At 36.7% G+C, this 18,793-nt stretch overlaps 1 protein-coding gene across 17 annotated transcripts in view, besides 2 other annotated features; it reads left to right on the top strand.

Moving 5' to 3' along the window:
• Positions 2,934-3,023: an enhancer, noted in NCBI's record as "active region_26298". NCBI's record gives its function as "activates an Ori minimal core promoter by ATAC-STARR-seq in GM12878 lymphoblastoid cells {active_cell/tissue: GM12878}" and the evidence as "EXISTENCE:reporter gene assay evidence [ECO:0000049][PMID:35858748]".
• Positions 3,194-3,393: an enhancer, noted in NCBI's record as "active region_26297". NCBI's record gives its function as "activates an Ori minimal core promoter by ATAC-STARR-seq in GM12878 lymphoblastoid cells {active_cell/tissue: GM12878}" and the evidence as "EXISTENCE:reporter gene assay evidence [ECO:0000049][PMID:35858748]".
• SEM1 (SEM1 26S proteasome subunit) overlaps positions 3,208-18,793 on the top strand; it is a 228,221-nt gene continuing 212,635 nt past the window's right edge. For 14 of the 17 annotated variants that reach the window (NR_163951.1, NR_163953.1, NR_163950.1 and 11 more), the window contains exons 1-2: positions 3,208-3,366; positions 18,163-18,256. Coding sequence is in view for 10 of the 17 variants with exons in the window: in NM_001393902.1 (NP_001380831.1) it covers positions 3,291-3,366; positions 18,163-18,256 (170 nt within the window). In the remaining 7 variants the exon portion in view is untranslated. The remainder of the gene's footprint in view (positions 3,367-18,162; positions 18,257-18,793) is intronic. The other 3 variants (NM_001393904.1, NM_001393905.1, NM_001393906.1) reach the window with 1 other exon arrangement.

The following is an 18,793-nucleotide window of genomic DNA, read 5'->3' as shown; positions in this document are numbered from 1 at the left end:
CCAAGTCCTGAGGCTGCATACAGCAGGGGGGCTCTGGGCCCAGACCATGAAACCACTTTTCCCTCCTAGGCCTCTGGGTCTGTGATGGGTGTGGCTGCCATGAAGGTCTCTGTCATGTCCTGGAGAGATTTTCCCATGTCTTGGCAATTAACACTTTGCTCCTTTTTACTTATGCAAATTTCTGCAGCCAGCTTGAATATCTCCCCAGAAAATGGGTTTTTCTTTTCTACTGCATCATCAGGCTGCAAATGTTCCATACTTTTATGCTTTGTCACCTCTTGAATGCTTTGCTGCTTAGAAATTTCTTCTGCCAGATAAGCCTAAATCACCTCTCTCAAGTTTAAAGTGCCACAGTTCTCTAAGGCAGGCATAAAATATGACCAGTCTCTCTGCATAGCAAGAGTGAACTTTACTCCAGTTTCCAACAAGTTCCGCATCTCCATCAGAGACCACCTCAGCCTGGACTTTATTTTATAGTCCATTTCACTATCAGCATTTTGGTCAAAGCCACTCAACAAGTCTCTAGGAAGTTCTGAACTTTCACATCTTCCTGTCTTCTGAGCCCTCCAAATCTCTAAGAAGTTCCAAACTTTCCCATATTTTTCTATCTTCTTCTGAGCCCTCCAAACTGTTCCAACCTCTGCCTGTTACCCAGTTCTAAAGTCGCTTCCATATTTTCAGGTATCTTTATGGCAGGGCCCTACTACCCTGTACCAACTGACTGTATTAGTTTGTTCTCACGCTGCTAATAAAGACATACCTGGGACTAGGTAATTTATAAAGGAAGGAGGTTTAATTGACTCACAGTTCCACATGGCCAGGGAGGCCTCACAATCATGGCTGAAGGTGAATGAGGAGCAAAGTCATGTCATACTTGGTGGCAGACAAGAGAGCTTGTATAGGGAAACTCTCCTTTATAAAACCATCAGATCTTGTGAGACTTATTCACTATCAGGAGAACAGCATGGGAAAGACCCGCCCCATTATTCAATTACCTCCCACTGAGTCCCTCCCACAACATGTGGGAATTATGGGAGCTACAGTTCAAGATGGGATTTGGGTGAGGACAGAAGCAAACCATATAAATAGGGCTGTTGAGAGGAGGATTAAATAAGAAAATACACAAAATGGGTTTAGCCCAGTGCCCGATACAAAGTAAACACTAAATATACATTATTAGAGGGACTGACTTCCTCAAAAAGTATTAAAAAGATATCATCAAGGAAACAAAACACACACTTAGAGACTTTAAGCGTTGACAAGGAGAATATGAAATATTTAAAAATATAAGTTCCTTAGTTAATAATAGCTAACATGTATTGATCACTTATTATGTGCCAGGCATTGAACTATGCACATTATATACATAATCTCCTTTAATCTTAACTGTGACTGCGAATAACCAAAATGTATTACAGAGAAATTAAGTAATTTGTCTAAACTCCCCTTTAGAAGGAACTGAGCCTAGATTTATAATACAAACTGGTCTGCAAATATGTATTCTTAATATCATTTTCCAAAATTATTCCCCGTGCCACGACCCTTGAAATGCAAAGTTGCTCATTGTGCCATGTGCCATGACATTTATGGCCGTACCACCCTGAACATGCCCCATCTCATCTGAAATAAGAAGTTATTTAAGTTTCAGCATTCTGGATTTCACAAACCAGTACAATGGAAGAAAGGGCAGGGGTGGTGGAACTTGACGTAAGATTGTTGATTTTTAAATCAACAATCTCTCTTTAAATTGAATATAGTTTTAGGGGGAAAAAATCACCATATTGCTGTTGATTTTTTTCTTTTGCTAAGGATTGATACAAACTTCATCATATATCAAATGAAATAAATAATAGGTCCAGGAACTAAAATTTGGGTTTTCTGATTCCTTGGCAAAATCTTTTTTTTTTTACCTTCTTTAAAAAATTATTTTAATTGACAAATAAAAATTGCCTATATTTGGGAGCACATGTTTTAAAATACAAATACATTGTATAATGACTAAATCACACTAAATAAGATATGCATTACCTGACATAATTTTTTTGGTAGTGAGATACCATTATTTTCAGTAATCTATATAAATCAAATAGTATAAGAGATACATTTTTTAAAAATTTCATCTAATTGTAGTTCTTGGCCAAGTTTGTTCTACATTTAGTTATTCAATTTTCTGTATTCCCAAACACTCTGTTCATTTCTCACTAATATTAAGATGCAGATTCAAGTGGATTACTGTGTTTCATTGTGATTTATCTGTTTACATGTCTCTGAGCAGCATATAAGCTCCTTGAAGAAAGGGACCTTGTCTATACATGTTTGATGCACAGCTCCTGGTAAGCGGTATGACCTTACATTGTTGAATAAAGGAATGGCATTTATAGATATAATCTGGAACATGTATCAACATTTACAATAATACTCAATTTGTGTACGTATATTCCATAATATTCATCCATATACATCCATATATTATATATAGAGTTCCATGAAGTTCACTACTGTATTCAAAATGATATTCAAATGCTATTCAAACAATTCTAAATGATATATTTTGAACACCATAAAATGTTACACAAATCCATAAATAGCATTACTGTATAATAACCTGTAAACCAGAGTTACTACACACACATACACACCACACAAATTCTATTTAAAAAGCTATTTTACCACAAAGTAATTCTAAGACCTTATAAACACTGCCTAATGGAAAAGTCTGGAGATTGGAGCCAGGCAAAAAAATCTGCATTTCGGTTGTCTAGAACTACCTGAGTGACTTCGGCTGCTTCCTACCGAACCTGAATTTTCTGTGATGTGGAGACATTTAATACCACCTTTAGGGAACTGGCTTAAGGACTGGAGGTAATAACGTATGTGAAGGGCTGATGAATGTTTGCAGTCACACTGTAGTCTCTCTAGAGTTCCTTCCTCGGTTGCAAACTAAGGGTTTTTTTGTTTGTTTGTTTTACACATTATGAGTCTCTTATAGTCAGGAAAACTACACGGATCTCAACTTTGGCAATACAGAGAGTCCGAATAACAAGGTAGAGACCAAAAAAAAAAAAAAAAAAAAATCACCTCTACAACTCGGAAAAAGCGCTAACCCCGCAGGAAGCGCTGGGCCGACCTCCAGTATCCCAGCATTCCTCGCGCTGCTCCCGTATTCTTTCCCCAAGTCTCTATGGTAGCGTCAGCGTCGGAGGCGGTAGTGACGGTGGCGTTTCCTTGAGGAAGAGTGAGGGTTCCAACTTTTCTGCTTATCTGGGAGGTGTTGGGCGCGGACAGTCGAGATGTCAGAGAAAAAGCAGCCGGTAGACTTAGGTCTGTTAGAGGAAGACGACGAGTTTGAAGAGTTCCCTGCCGAAGGTAACCGCTGGGCCCCGGTTTCTGTGTCGCGCGAACGGTGACTCAGGCCTCCGTGTGGAGGTAGCTTGGGTGCTCGGGCCCAGCTGGGGGCACCGGCGGGAAGTTTGGACTCCCAGGGCCGGCACTCGAGGCGCTAACGCTCACCCCTCAGTGGCGCCCCAGATTCGGGTTTGGGGTGTTGCGCTGGGACTCACTGGTGAGGCCCAATGGCTTCGGCTTCCTCACTGGGAGGAGCCACCGTGAGTCTGGACCCATAGCCCCGCGTCTGTGATGGTTGGTCCATTTACTGTTCACCTGGGTTACTCACCACTTAAACTTAGTTCAAGTCTACATAACCTCCTTTTCTTTTTGTTTTAGCAGTCTTTCTTTGTCTTTAAACCTTTCCAGAATTGAATTGTCAGTAGTTACGCCAATGCTGCTTAACTTTTAGGATGTTACAAATGAAGCCTCATTAAGTAGGATAGGAGGGTAAGATACGGGGTGCTTAATACACATTATTGCCTCATTCCTGTTCCTCACCATTTTGATCACTTAACTGTGACCTAACTTAATGCTTTATAAGACCCTAAAACTTGCCGGGTGTGGTGGCTCACGCCTGTAATCGCAGCAGTTTGGGAGGAAGAGGCAGGAGGATCACATAAGGTCAGGAGTTCAAGACCAGCCTGGGCAACATAGCGAGACCCTGTCCCTACAAAAATAAAATATTTTTTTAAAAGAACCTAAACCTTACACATTTTTTTTTTTAGCTTCAAAACTAAAGACCTGGTTTTTTCATTGTAGATAATAGCAAATTGCTAACATTTATTGAGTGGCTGTTGTTTTCAGGAACTTGTCTAAGTGCTTTACTTGTAATAGCATATTCCACTTTCATAAATATAAGAAGTAGGCCTCAGTATTGCCATTCTTCAGATAAACTGAAGCTCGGAATGGTTAAGAAACCTTCTGATGTCTCATAACTAGTTAGAAATAATAGAACTGGAACTGGGAAACCTGGCCTGATTGACACCAAAGCTCTTAACTTCAGCTGTACTGCTTCTGTTTGTGAGATTGCTGTTGCCAGTTAGGTTTTCAAAATAGGCTGCTTTATTGGCTGATGGTTGATGAGTAGGATTTGTAAATATTTACCTTATAAGAAAAGGAGATTACTTTCTGAAGGTGGTAGAAAGAGAATTGTGGTTAATGGGGTACACATCCTGTTGCATCAAGCAATTACTACTTCACTAAAATTGTCCCAAGTTGTATACCCTATGATGATCCTATTGTGCATAAAACCACATAGCTGGAACATTTGTTCTATTTATAATGTACTGTTACTTTGTTTAGTGGAAGAGAACATTAGTGTACATGCTACAGAAACTGGTAAACTAACCCAAAGCACATTTCTTTTCAGTTCTGGAATTAATTATGTGTTGTAGGCATTCTTAGTTTTTTGTTTTGGTAATGGATTTATCTATTCAGTCATGTTTTCTTTAGCTCGCTTTCAAGTTGCTTCATAATCCGCCAACATAGAGCTGTGTCGTAGAAAGCTGGCCTATTGAAGGTAGGATCTACTTCTTACTCAAACTTAATACTTCAAATAGCATTCTTCATTATCATATACAGGGTGGAATGTTAGGCACTTTATTTGCATTACATAATCTAATTATCACTATCACCTTGAGAATATGGAGGCTTAGAGACAAAAAGAAAAACAAACAAACAAAACTTGCCATTATGTCCAAGCCAGGATCTGAAAGGTCTAACTCCCTGATCCAAACTTTATCTGTAACATTTAGCAAAGTGCCTGATACATAGTAGGTGGTCAATAAATGCATGTTGAATGAATGATGAATGAACCCGCATTTAAAATGAGTAGTTAGTTGATAATTGACTGCTTAAAAACGATCTAGAGATAACTATGTACCTGATGGTACACTTGATTTTTTTCAGCAACTTTCATCAGCTTTTGCGAGTGTAGTTTGTGCTTGTTCTAAGTTTATATGTGAGCAGCAATTTTTCAAAGTGTCAGTAGTTATATAGTAAAACAAAACAAAAAGGTAAAAGGAAAAGCAAAAAAAAATTATTCTTTCTAAGGACAAAAGACTCACAACAGACTTGTTTATTAACATTAAGTAATTGACCATTTATGGGTCTCCTTACAGAATGTTTGTTGTCTTCAGGTATAAATGTGTAGAATTAATTCATTCAGGAAACTTTCCATTTTAGAGTGAGAAACATTTTTAATGCCTTTATTTTGTTCAAGTTTCTCTTCTCTGGTTTATGATTTGGAGAGGTTTTTCTTAATTTGAATTTGTGAGAAAATCATCCCACAAGGTGAAACCACTCAATATTTACTCATGAAAGTTGTTCTGATGAGTAACAAAAGCAAAAGAAAAACACTTCAGAAAATATCACCAAAGAATTATTTCTTTTCTGAGAATCTACATTTCCGACATGTTTTGGTCTAGTCAAGGTTTAGAGTCTGTTACTATTCAAAATGTGATCCATGAAACAGCAGACTTGGCATTGCCTGGGAGCCTGTTAAAATTGCAGCATCTCATCATTCCTCAAACCTAGACCTACTTAATCAGTGTGGGCTTTACCAGGATTCCTAAGAGAGATGTTTGAAAAAACATTAAAGTTTGAAAAGTATTACTTTAAAACAGTGACCTATTTTCAATCTTTTGGTATTTGAGTTTTCACTTCAAGTATTAATGCCCTGATTTACTTTCAAGTTCTTTCTGTACTTTGGAAAATTATTTTTCTTGTAAGTATGCCATTGACAAATTCACTAACAGATACAAATTAAAATTGGTGTTGTTAAGGCAGCCTATGAACATCTCTGCAGTCTATAACAGATCTTACTTTCAAACGCTTTGTTGAGTGTCAGTGCTCCAGAAAGTGGATTTTATCCACTCTCGGGTAACTTGGAGTATAGAGGTTGCCACATGAAAGTCGTTACTGGTGGTTCGACTAATAGATTTTCTTTTGGGAGTGGGTCTTTCTTTTGGGAGTGGCGTTGCTACATCCCATCTTGCATAAGAATATGTTTGGTAGGATGTTCATTTAATCATTTTAAGGAAAGGGAATTTTTATTGTTTCTTCTCTCTCTCTTTTTTTTTTTTTTTTTTTTTTTTTGTTTGTTTGAGATGGAGTTTCACTCTTGTTGCCCAGGCTGGAGTGCAGTGGCGCGATCTCGGCTGACTGCAACCTCCACCTCCTGGGTTCAAGCGATTCTCCTGCCTCAGCCTCCCGTGTAGCTGGGATTACAGGCATGTGCCACCATGCCCGGCTAATTTTGTATTTTTGGTAGAGACAGGGTTTCTCCATGTTGGTCAAGCTGGTCTTGAACTCCCGACCTCAGGTGATCCACCCGCCTCTGCCTCCCAAAGTGCTGGGATTACAGGTGTGAGGCACCATGTCAGCATAGTTTCTTCTCAATAGCCCTTCAATGTAAAGTGCAACATCTGGAAGGAGTCTCTGAAGGTACAAATGCTGCTTTTATTTTTTCCCCCATTCTATAGCCTGTGAATTGGTGCTACATTGGCATTTCCTCACAATTATTCTAATTGGTGGGTGTGTAATCTTCTGGTCATTAAGCAGGAGCTGTAAAAAATCATATTTAGGATCTTTGTGATATACAGCCTCCAACTTCTTGACTACTTAAACTGATTTAGAACAGCCTTTATTAGGAAGACATTCAAGGTCCTGGGTGTGATTGATTTTGATATGATTTTGGAAGCTTTGAAATGGTTAGAATTCTAGGACCGGAGGGCAACTTAAAAGTCTAGAGAAGATTTCATTTTTCAAATCATACGGTCAGGTTGGTGGTGATAGAGTCAAAAACTGAAGTAGTCTATAATTTATTTAAAACTTTTTTTTTTTTTTTGAGACAGAGTCTCGCTCTGTCACCCAGGCTGGAGTGCAGTGGCGCAATCTCGGCTCACTGCAAGCTCCACCTCCTGGGTTCACACCATTCTCCTGCCTCAGCCTCCCTAGTAGCTGGGATTACAGGTGCCCGTCACCACGCCCGGCTAATTTTTTTTGTAGAGATGGGGTTTCATGGTGTTAGCCAGGATGGTCTCGATCTCCTGACCTGGTGATCCGCCCGCCTCGGCCTCCCAAAGTGCTGGGATTACAGGCATGAGCCACCGCGCCCAGCCTAATTTATTTAAAACGTTGACTACTTTTCCATATCAAATTATTGAAAGAGTTTTAAAAAATATTTTTATTAGTTTCTCTGACAATTAGATGTGGATTCGAGTAAAAGAGGGAAGAGAACAAGTGCTCCTTTAGATTCTTTTATTCTCTTCCTGTGCCAGAATTGAAAGGGTTTTTTTTTTTTTTTTGAGAGAGAAGCTTTTTTAGAATATTTAGAATGAAATTGAGTTTGCCTGCAGCAGCAATAGCGTTTACAAGAGTGATATTATACTAAGTATTCTATACTTTTTCTGTATTAGGTGAAATTTCTATATAGTCTGAAGAAATCAGGAGCAGAATACTACCCACCTTCCCACCCTCTGGCCCCTGGAGAAATTTCTGGATAAGACAGTGTTATGATGGGAATCTGTCTGTTGAGGCAGACAACAGACTGGTGATCCCCTAATGCTGCCAGCATTCTGGAATAAATGAGGCATTATCACCTGTGCCTTAAAAAGTATGACATCTTACAGTGGTTCTTAACCAAGGGAGTGTTTTTGGATGTCACACTGACTTGACAGGTAGGAGTGTAGAAAAACTGCCAGCATTTAGTGGGTAGAGGTCAAGGATTTTATATTTGTGCCTGCACGAGGAAGAACTGCCCTGTGAAAAATGCTATTGAGAAATATTTATGTGAACAGCATATACCAACAGGACTAAACATTCAATAGGAGGATTCCTTAGAATCTTAAATGTAGAAGATAGATGTGACCAGTATTGATAATGTCACACACCATGCTAGTCAGTTTACCTAGTGCCAAAAAGGGCTTTTGCTGTTTTTGCATTATTAAATGTAATATAGTGGACATAACCATTAAACATTTGAATTAGTTACATGGTGGTAGCAAGAAATGGAGAACTCATGTTACTAAAAATTTTTAAGAAAAAATGTGTAATCTGTATAATGATTCGAAGAGTACCTGTTGAATGTCCATTTTTGATAATTGTGTGCAAGAAGAAAGTTTTTGAACCCCAGGATAGAATAAGCATGATGAATCTAGGATTAGGCCTAGGTTCAAATCTACCATTCATAAACTTTCAGCTAGTCACCTCATGCTAGTTACTTAACTTCCTCTTTAAAATATTTTTGTAGTATATTATATAGGATAATTGTATAAGTAACCGCTTATGGTAAAAATTTAAACTTAATGAGAGTATAAATTAAAAAGTAAAAACACAGTTTCCCTCTACAATTCCCCAAAAAAGTTATTTATGTCCCAGTGATAACCAACGTTAAATGTTTTTTTCTTTAGTATCCTTCCAGAATGTATTTATAAATTGTACTTGTTTGTATGTATCCTTTAAATACATACACAGAAGACATACGATATATACTATTTCCTCCTACTTGATTTTTATTATTTAATGTATCTCAGGTACATTTTTGCATCAATATAAAAATCTACCTCATGCCCTCATTGTGTTCATCTTAAATAGTCTATTTAACTAGTCCCTTCTTGATAGATATTAGGGTTTTTTCTTTGGTTCTTTTATGTATGTGTGTGTGTGTGTGTGTGTGTGTGTGTGTGTGTGTGTTTTTAAGAGACAAGGTCTTGCTCTGGTGCTCTGTCACCCAGGCTGGAGTACAGTGGCGCTGTCACAGATTATTACGGCCTTGAACTCCTGGGATTGAGTGATCCTCTGTCTCAGCCTCCCTATCAGCCTCCCTAGTAGCTGGGAGTACAGGCATGTGCCATCTCACCTAATTTGTTCTTTCAAATTTTTTGTGGAGATTTGGTCTCGTTATGTTGCCCAGGCTGGTACTGAACTAATGGCCTCAGCAGTCTTCCCATCAGTCTTCCCAGGTGCTGGGATTACAGGTGAGCCACTGCACCTGGCCTTTAAAAGAAAAAAAAAAAATGGAATATGCTGCAGTGAATAACCTTATAGCTTTAGGGTTTTTGTTGCTTGGGTTTTGTTGTTTTTTTTCTGTTACAGATAATGAATATGTTTACATCTTTTTGTGTGTGTGCTAATCTATAAGATAAACTCCTAGAGAAGAATTGCCAAATTGAATTGGCAGACTCATTTTTTATAATATAATTTTTATTTTGAAATAATCTCAAACTTACAGAATAGTTGAAAGTACAGTACAAACATTTTTCTCTAAACCATTTGTGAATAAGTTGCCAACCTGATGGCCATCACTCCTGAGTATTTTAATGTGTATTTCCTACAAGGACATAGTCACAAGACAACCATCAAAATCAGGAAATTAACGCACTGATGCATTACTATAGGTTGAGCATCCCAAATCTGAAATCCTCCGGAATCTCAAACTTTCTGAGTACCAACATGAAATTTCAGATTAGGGGATTTGGGATGCCCAGTTGTAAATATATAATGCAAGTATTTCAAAATTCAAAAAAATACAAAATTTGAAACACTTCTGGTCTCAAGCATTTTGAATAAGGGATACTCAACCTGTATGATCTAACCCACAGATCACTTTCAGCTTTCTCCCATTGTCTCAATAATGTCTTACTATAGAGTCCTGGATTACATTATCTTGTCCTGTCTCTTTAGTCTTCCTTAGTCTAGAGCATTTCCTGTTTGTCTTTAACTTTAATGATTTTCACACTTTAGAAGACTACAGGCCAGATATTTTGTAGAATGTTCCTCACCTGTGCCTATTTCCTCATGATAGAAGTTCTACATTGTAGTCCTGGTGCTCTGTTCTAATGACATCTTTTTAGGTGGAACATTATTCTCATTTGTTCCATTACTGGGGATGTTCACTTCAATCACTATTAAGGTGGTGTTTGTTAGGCCTTTCCATTGTTAGGTTACTAATTTTCCCTTCCTAATAGGCAGTTTTGGGGGAGGGACTTTGAAACTATGTAAATACAGTATTCCAGTGATCATCAAACTTGTAACTTGTTCATCTTTTAAAAAATGTATAGCAGTGTGGACTAGTGGATTCTGACTCAGTAGGTTATAATTTGTAACTATTATTTGGATTCTCAGATTGTCCCATATTTGAACATGCAGAACTCCTTCAGGCTGTCTTCTGTGTCCTTTTGCCATGTCTCCATTATTCTTTGTGCATTTCCTAGCATTCTGGCACAAGGTGTATTCCAAACTAATTTTATATGTGAAATCAGCCGTTGCTCCAATGTGATTTCTTTTTAGTGGAGAATGGTATTTAGAATGCAGGGTCTTCACTTTGCTTATGTTTATTGCATTTGGGATATTCCTGCTCCCAGACCCTCTAAGTGGAAGGAACTAGGGATGTACAGGAGTGTGTGTGTGTGTGTATGTATAAAACCATGGGTTCACACAGATGTCTCCAATTGCAGTTCAACACCACTGGATTCATTCTAGTTTTTTCCCTTTCTACATTTGTTATTCCCTTCTCCAATAGTGAGAAACCTGGCTTCCATTATCTTCAATGTATTGTCTATTTGGTCATCCCCCTTCCTAACCAATCTTTGCTGCCCCCAACAGGTGCCCTTCTTGCCCAACTTGGGCTCCACATTTTATGCCAGGCCACCCTCCCATCCTCTAGTGTGGGTGACTTCGTTCTGTCCAGGCTCTGACACACCAGCCACACCATGCTGCCCCTCTCCAGGAATGCCCTCCTTGCTCTACTTGGGCTTAGACACCTCATCTTAGACCTGGCATATCTTAAATTTTGACAGATACTCTCAAATTGCCTTTGAGAAGGGTTATGCCAATTTATGTTTTCATCTACAGTTCACCTTTTCCCTCATAAGCTTGCTACACTAGATAGTAAACATGTTAGTCATTACTGACCTCATGAATGAAAAATAAAATTGTATCATTTTGATTTGGATTGATTTTTTTAAGTAAGATTAACCATTATGTTTTTCTCTGAGCTGTTACCATCTTAATCCTCAATTTCATTATCTGTAATATATGGCTAATAATATTTATTAGAGTCATGAAAGAATTACATTATTGTAATGGTTGGCCTGGGCTACCATAACAAAATAGCATAGACTGGGTGGCTTAAACATCAGAGATTTATTTTCTCACCCATTCTGGAGGCTGTGGAGTCCAAGATTAAAGTGTAGGTCGATACAGTTCTTGGTGAGGCCACTCTTCCTGCCTTGCACAAGGCTGCCTTTGTGCTGTGTTCTCTTGTGGCAGAATGAAAGAGTGCATGCTCTCTGGTGTCTCTTAAGGCACTAATCCCATCATGGGAGCCCTACCCGCAAGACCTCATTCAATCCTGATTACCTCCCGAATACCATCATATTGAGGATGAGGGCTTCAACATAAGAATTTTTGGGGGGGTTTTGGGGGGCCAGGGTACAAAGATTTAGTCCAGAACAATGATACATATGTAAACAGAGTCTGGCACAAAGTTGGTATTCAGTAAACATTAGTCTCCTTTTTTCTCTCCCCTCTAATGTACTTAGGAGTTTGGATTTTGGATGATGTTTAATATTTATTTAGAATTTGAGCTGTGTCTGACATGTATTTAGTAATTTTGAATATATTCAAAATTAAGCTTGTTAAATTTGTGAATTATTTGATAATTGATTTATTTTGCAGTATTAGAAACTTGTAAATTTAAAAAAATTGCCATTAAATGTTTTTCCACAAGTACTTAATAATGTGGTTATTCATAGAAAGACACATAAAATAGTAACATACATTATTTAGGGGTATATACAGATTGGAATGAAAAACCCCCAAATCAAGATGCTGGTGCTTGGGAAGGGATAGTGAGAGGTGTGAACCAGGATATTAAACACTGAAAAACTCTTTGAAAAACTATTTGGTTAGCTATTTCATTGGTTCTATGGAATGAGCAAGCAGTAAGCAATTGTGGTTTAAGTAGTGTTTAATGTTACTACTTGTTTGTTAAACATTACTCATTGAAAGATGTGATGAACTGCGAAAACATTGAGAGGAAAATAAGTTTCAAAAACTGTATACAGTTGACCCTTTAACAACATGGTTTGAAGTGTGAGGGTCCATTTATACACAGATTTTTTTCAACTAAATGGGAAAAGGAAGTACGATATTCACAGGATATGGAACCCACCTGTAGAGAGGGCTGACTACCACTTGGCTAACCATGGGACCTGAATATACATAGATTTGGGTATACTTGGGCTGTCCTGGAACAAGTACCCCGAGTATACCGAGGGATGAGTGTACTCTTCTTCATAAGTATTTAAAATTTACCAAATATCCTTAATCCTTTGTCTGGTTGTGTACTCTGGTGTACATGTAATGTTTGGTGGAAATTGTATTGTTTATATTCTAGGACATGTTTCTCTACTCACCTCTCTCATCCCACAAATTGCCTTTCCAGTGATTAGCATGTATGTAATAAAGGATTTATTCATTTGACATGTATTTGTTGAGTGTTTCCTATAAATCTGGTACTGAAAAGTACAGAGAGAATGGTATTAGCTGCCATTTATCAGTACTAAGTGCTTTACATACACAGTGTCATTGAGTCTTCATAGCTCTTTGAGGTATAAGTTTTATACCTAGGGATCAGAAAAATTTAATTTACCCAAGGTCACAGTTAATTAGAGGCTGTCTTGAAGCAAATTTGACTTCTATAGATATTTGTCTTTGAACTTAGTAAGTAGTAGTTAAGGGAGAGAAGAATCAGTGGTTTTAACACCAAGCTAGAGTGCTTTAGTATTTTGGAAGTGTTTATCCTGGGGTGGGACTCAAAGCCCTTTTCTCCCTACCACCAATTAAACCATAGCAACATTGCCTTTGTTTCTCTTACCTGTTGGGCTTCTGAGTAAGATGTAATTTGGTTTCCTTCAACTGATAGTAAAGTGCAACAGCAGTTCAAAAGAAACAGATTACTTCCAGTTATGTACAGTGCGAGGTAGCAACCTTTGAACAGGGCTTTCAAAAGAAACGTAGGAAAGGGGTTTTCAAAAGAAGGGAAAAGGTGTAGGTGCTTTGAAGTGAAAAATAAATGTGTATGTATATTGTATTTGCTTATGAAATAGTAGTTGCAAATGCAGGTGGTTTGTGGCCTCAGCATGGAAAGCTTTAAGCCTCTGACCAGTTTGGACTTAATCCTTAATTAACTAGATGAGAAGTGGTTTTTAAAATGTTTTGTTTGTTTTGCTTATGACAGTGATATGTGTAAGTTTCCTTTAGGCAATATGCTGAAACATTAACCCAGCAGAATTAATTTGAAAAGATAGAAAGACTAGAGTCAGGGAGGTTAATTAGCAGATTGTCGAAATAACTCAGGTGAGGACTAAGGGCGAAATAAATTATTATTAGAAATGAAGTGAAGAGAATGATGCCACAACAGTAAGGGAGGTAGAAGTGATGAAGCATTAGCAACTAGTTTGATATGGGGTGTTGAGAATAAGAAGAAATCTGGGGTTGTGATTTTGCCCATGCGTGTCTTAAGAATATGCATGGTGAAGTTGAGATTGGATACCCTTGACTCAGTAATTTGAAGGGTAGATCAGAATGAGGGTACCAAGATGAGATGAATCTAGGGCATAAGGGCTTGGAAAAGATGAGAGTAATGGTTTTTGTAAATTTTATGGAATTAAAATTAAAGCCACAAATCTACCAGGTTCAGGAAGCGAAAGAAAAAACAAATACATTTTTAAAAATTTATGCTGGAGAGGATGTGGAGAAGTAGGAACGCTTTTACACTGTTGGTGGGAGTGTAAATTAGTTCAACCATTGTGGAAGACAATGTGGTGATTCCGCAAGGATCTAGAACTAGAAATAACCATTTGACCCAGCAATCCCATTACTGGGTTATACCCAAAGGATTATAAATCATTCTACTATAAAGACGCATGCACATGAATGTTTATTGAAGCACTATTCACAATAGCAAAGACTTGGAACCGATCCCAATGGCCATCAGTGACGGACTGGTTAAAGAAAAGGTGGCACGTATACGCTGTGCAATACTATACAGCCATAAAAAAGGATGGGTTCTTGTCCTTTTTAGGGACATGGATGAAGCTGGAAACCATCATTGTCAACAAACTAACACAAGAACAGAAAACCTAACACCGCATGTTCTCACTCATAAGTGGAAGTTGAACAATGAGAACACATAGTAGACACAGGAAGGGGAACATCACACACCTGGGCCTGTCGGGGTGGGAAGCAAGGGGAGGGATGGCATTAGGAGAAATACTTAATTCGTGTGGGACTTAAAACCTAGGTGATGGGTTGATGGGTGCAGCAAACCACTGTGGCACATGTATTCCTATGTAACGGACCTGTACATTCTGCACATCTATCCCAGAACTTAAAGTAAAAAAAATCCCAAATCAACAAAGAGAACCAACAAAGTGGAACCATTCTGCCAGACTTATATTTTTTTTAATTGTTGATGAAAATAATTGGGTTTGGATTTCCTTTTTAAAAAATGTAAGAATAGTTATGAATGATTATGAAGTTATTTTGATCCTTTGTTTCAGACTCTGCCACAACTGAAAGCTCACCAACAGCCTGCCAATAAAAACATTGTTTATGACTTGCTTTTTGTTTGAAGTTCTCCACTAACAGTTTTGGTCCTTGTTAGAGAAAATATAGTAGCAAAGTGGTGCCGTGCTACGTATTGATTTCTTAGTCACTGACTAGACATTAGATCTGCAGGGTATACGGGTGTTTGCATTATGATAACCTACAGAAGTGAAATTTTCAAAAAAAATAATTTGTTTCATACACCCTCAGCAGGAACACTTGTAAATTTATCTCAGAATCACTGGATATGGTGTGGCTTCATTATCATACTCATGAGTATAGTGATGCTGTTTGTAAGTATTGCTCTTCTCTTTTACACACACCTAAGATGGTGAATGTTCAATTTAGTATTTTTCTTTTCATGTAATGTTCTGTATATACTTGCATGTTTTGTATTTGAAGAAACTTGGTTGGAGATTAGGTTGTTTATGTTCAGAATACCTTTATTTTTATGGAATAAGAATTCGATACTCTTGAAAATTGGTGTAGAATAGAACATTTGCAACCCTATTTAGTATGAGTGGGATTTCCTTTTTACTTTTCTCAAAAATGCTATATTTCATGCCTTTCAGAAATTTGGAAATGTATGTTGCAGAGTAGGGGAAAGTAAGTATTAAAAGAATTTTCTAAGTTGAAAGAAGATTCTTTTTGTACTTAAATGTCAAGGTGATACTTAGGTGAAGTATGTCTTAGATCTTGGATAGCTCAGATTTTTTAAATTTAAAGCTAGTCACAGATGTAATTCTCAACTAGCCAAAGTGAAGAAAGCCCAATTTGGGACAACGTCTAAAATAAGAATTGCTAGAAACTTATGTATTAGGCATCTGTTACTGGTTATTTCCAATTCTGACTTTTTAAAATGTAGGGTTTTTTTTTTTTTTTAAACCAGTACACATCTGGAGGCATACACATTGAAGCAAATACAGCTGTGGTTATTTACATGATTAATCACAATTCTGGCAATGCATTTAGTGTTTAAGGTAAAGTGTATGCTTTATAAGGCCATCTACATATTGAAGGATGGCATTAGACATGAGGTATATCAGATATCATGGGTATCATTGTTTGGTTATATTTTGTCCTTTTCAAAACTATTTCTGGAGTTAACCCTTTAAAACTGAGTGATTAAAATTGCTTGGTTGTCAGTGTAGTGTTAGAGTTGAAAATTAAAACACAATTCAGAGATCCAAGAAGATGTCAGCTAAACCCAGAGATTACAATAGTTACAGCTTTTTCATGTTATACATTGAGTAGAGTTTGTATGTATTGTAACTTACATATATTGTAACATGTATGTATAGTATAGAGAATTTGTAAGTGTTGGACATACTATTTTGGGGCATTATACCCTATCACATAAGCTTTTTATGTAATATAGTTAAGTACATAATCCAGGTTAATACACTGTTTAAAATATCCATCCAAAATAGATTCTGGTTTGTCAGTGTTAGCACTATTTTTCTTAACAGTGCTCATATTAATTTTAACTGCTTAATAAGTTGTAATAGAAAGGTTATTTCTCAGATTCCTCATCTATGATAATTGGAAGGGTGGTATGCTATTACGTAGACATTAGTGCTTCTTACTGCTTAAGATAATGGTATTAAGGCTACAAAGTTTATCTAGATTTATCAGATAATTAACGAAGAATTTGGCCAGCTCTTTCGTCTTTGTTTACTCAGTAGTGTCATAACTATGAAGTACTGTATAGTAATACGAAAGAACTATAGAGGTATTGTTATGAATCTTTTTTATATGTTCTACCTAAAATGTTGCTCACAGTATTCTTTTTCCCCCTCTTCATGAGCCAGTTCCTTTTTCCTGGGACTTTATCTCTACTTTTTCCTTTCCTTTCCCAGCCATTAAAATAGGGTGAGATGGTTATTAGACGAGGGAGAGATGCTTTATCTTTGTTGTAAATGATCATCAGAGTTTAACTTTATAAACTAAAAAAATTGTACCATTCTTAAATATTTTTCCCCTCTCTAAGTTAAAAGAAGTAAAGTCAACTTGAAGACATCACTTAATAACTATTGAAATAACATTTTGAATCAAATCATAATTAGATGAAAAATTTTGTTTCTTAAAAGATAGTTGCTTTAAAAGATAAGGCTCTACAGTATTTTTCAAAGACTTACAAGGTTAGCAGAAAAGTGTAAAATATTATTTTATATTTCTGGCTTGAATCTTTTGACACATGATTATTTCCTTTTTAGGGACCAATGCAGATGGAAGCGACCTACTTAACAGTTTAGGAAGCTGGTTATTTGGAAGTGGTTCAAGCTGAGTAGAATCTGCTTGTTGTCTTAGAACCTTGAAACAGTTCTGTTGTGATTTTGAGTTATGTCACCCCCTTTACTCAAGAACATAGTATCTAGTCTTTATTTAAATTATTTTTTTGTAACATAAAACTCCATTAGACATCTTTATAAAGACTCCTTAAAATAACTATCAAATAGATAATTTCTATTTCCAGGCTCAACCCACATAGCATATTTAAAGCTTGAGATTTGAGGTTAGAGAATAGTGGTAATACGTACGTACTTTCTCACCATTCTAAACAAAAGCTGAAATCTCAATCTAAACCTCCCCTCTACCACTACCAAAGGGAGGAAGAAAATCTAGAAAACTAAAAACTACAATATTCTTCTTTATGCATATTTATGTTTATTCTTCCTTTAAAAATATAAATTTTGTATCAGTTGTATTAGGCAGATACTAGTGGTGGCTTACAGTTTGGTCTACTTTTAAATATTTGTATATAAGTTATCCTTACGTTTTGCAGTTTTGAATTTCACACTGGTATCTTCCTGCCATTCAACTTGCTTTAGGGTTGTTGGTGTTGTGTTTTGAAAGATTGTGAAGTCGACCTTCTAAAAATGAGTTCAAAGAAAAATCAGTAAAGTAAATATCCTCCTGAAATTGTAAGTTTCTTGGCAAGTAGAATTTTTTGTATTAACTTCTGTTTTAGGTTATCTGCAAACTCAAGAATTGAGAGAACTAGACAGCATAAGCTCAGATTTAAGGAAGATACCATTTTTCATAGATATGGTTTTAGCTGTTTTTGAATTGTGAGTGTTCAGTAGCAAGCTTTTCAAAGTTTTTGTAATTGTGGAAATAATGTATGAGAAATATTTAGACAGCATCTGTTTCTATTTTTAGACTGGGCTGGCTTAGATGAAGATGAAGATGCACATGTCTGGGAGGATAATTGGGATGATGACAATGTAGAGGATGACTTCTCTAATCAGTTACGGTAAGTTTTAAGCCAGATTTTTATTGTAGTTCAGTATTAATTATAAGCATGGAATATGTAATTTACATAGATGATTAACCTCTTAAAAGCTACTTAATCTTTGAAATAGGTTTTTGAACTGTGTAAAGTAAGACATATTGTCTTCATCTCCTGTGATTCTAAACATGAACACTTTGTGTAATTGCATACAACTTTTATTCTTTCTGGTCTTTTTACAAAGGTAGTAAAATAGAAGCATATTTGCTATTTCTTATCCTTAGGAATTTAATTCTGTCAATGTTAATTTTCTACCAATATCAAATAACTCAGCAGAAATTAGAATCATAGAGTGCTGGGACCTAATAGATTGGTGATTCTCAAACTGGAATGGAGATTGGGGTTGTGAGAATGTACTGTGTCATATTCATGTATAAATCTACCTGATTTCATTTATTTATTGAGGTAAAATTCATGTAACATAAAATTAAGCATTTGAAAGTGTACAGTTCAGTGGCTTCTAGTACATCCTCAATATTGTGCAACCATCATCTCTATTTA

Source organism: Homo sapiens, chromosome 7 (genome assembly GCF_000001405.40).
Source record: "Homo sapiens chromosome 7, GRCh38.p14 Primary Assembly".
Taxonomy (NCBI): Eukaryota; Metazoa; Chordata; class Mammalia; order Primates; family Hominidae; genus Homo; species Homo sapiens.
Note: the sequence above shows the minus strand (reverse complement) of the source record. Positions and strands in the feature narration are given on the sequence as shown.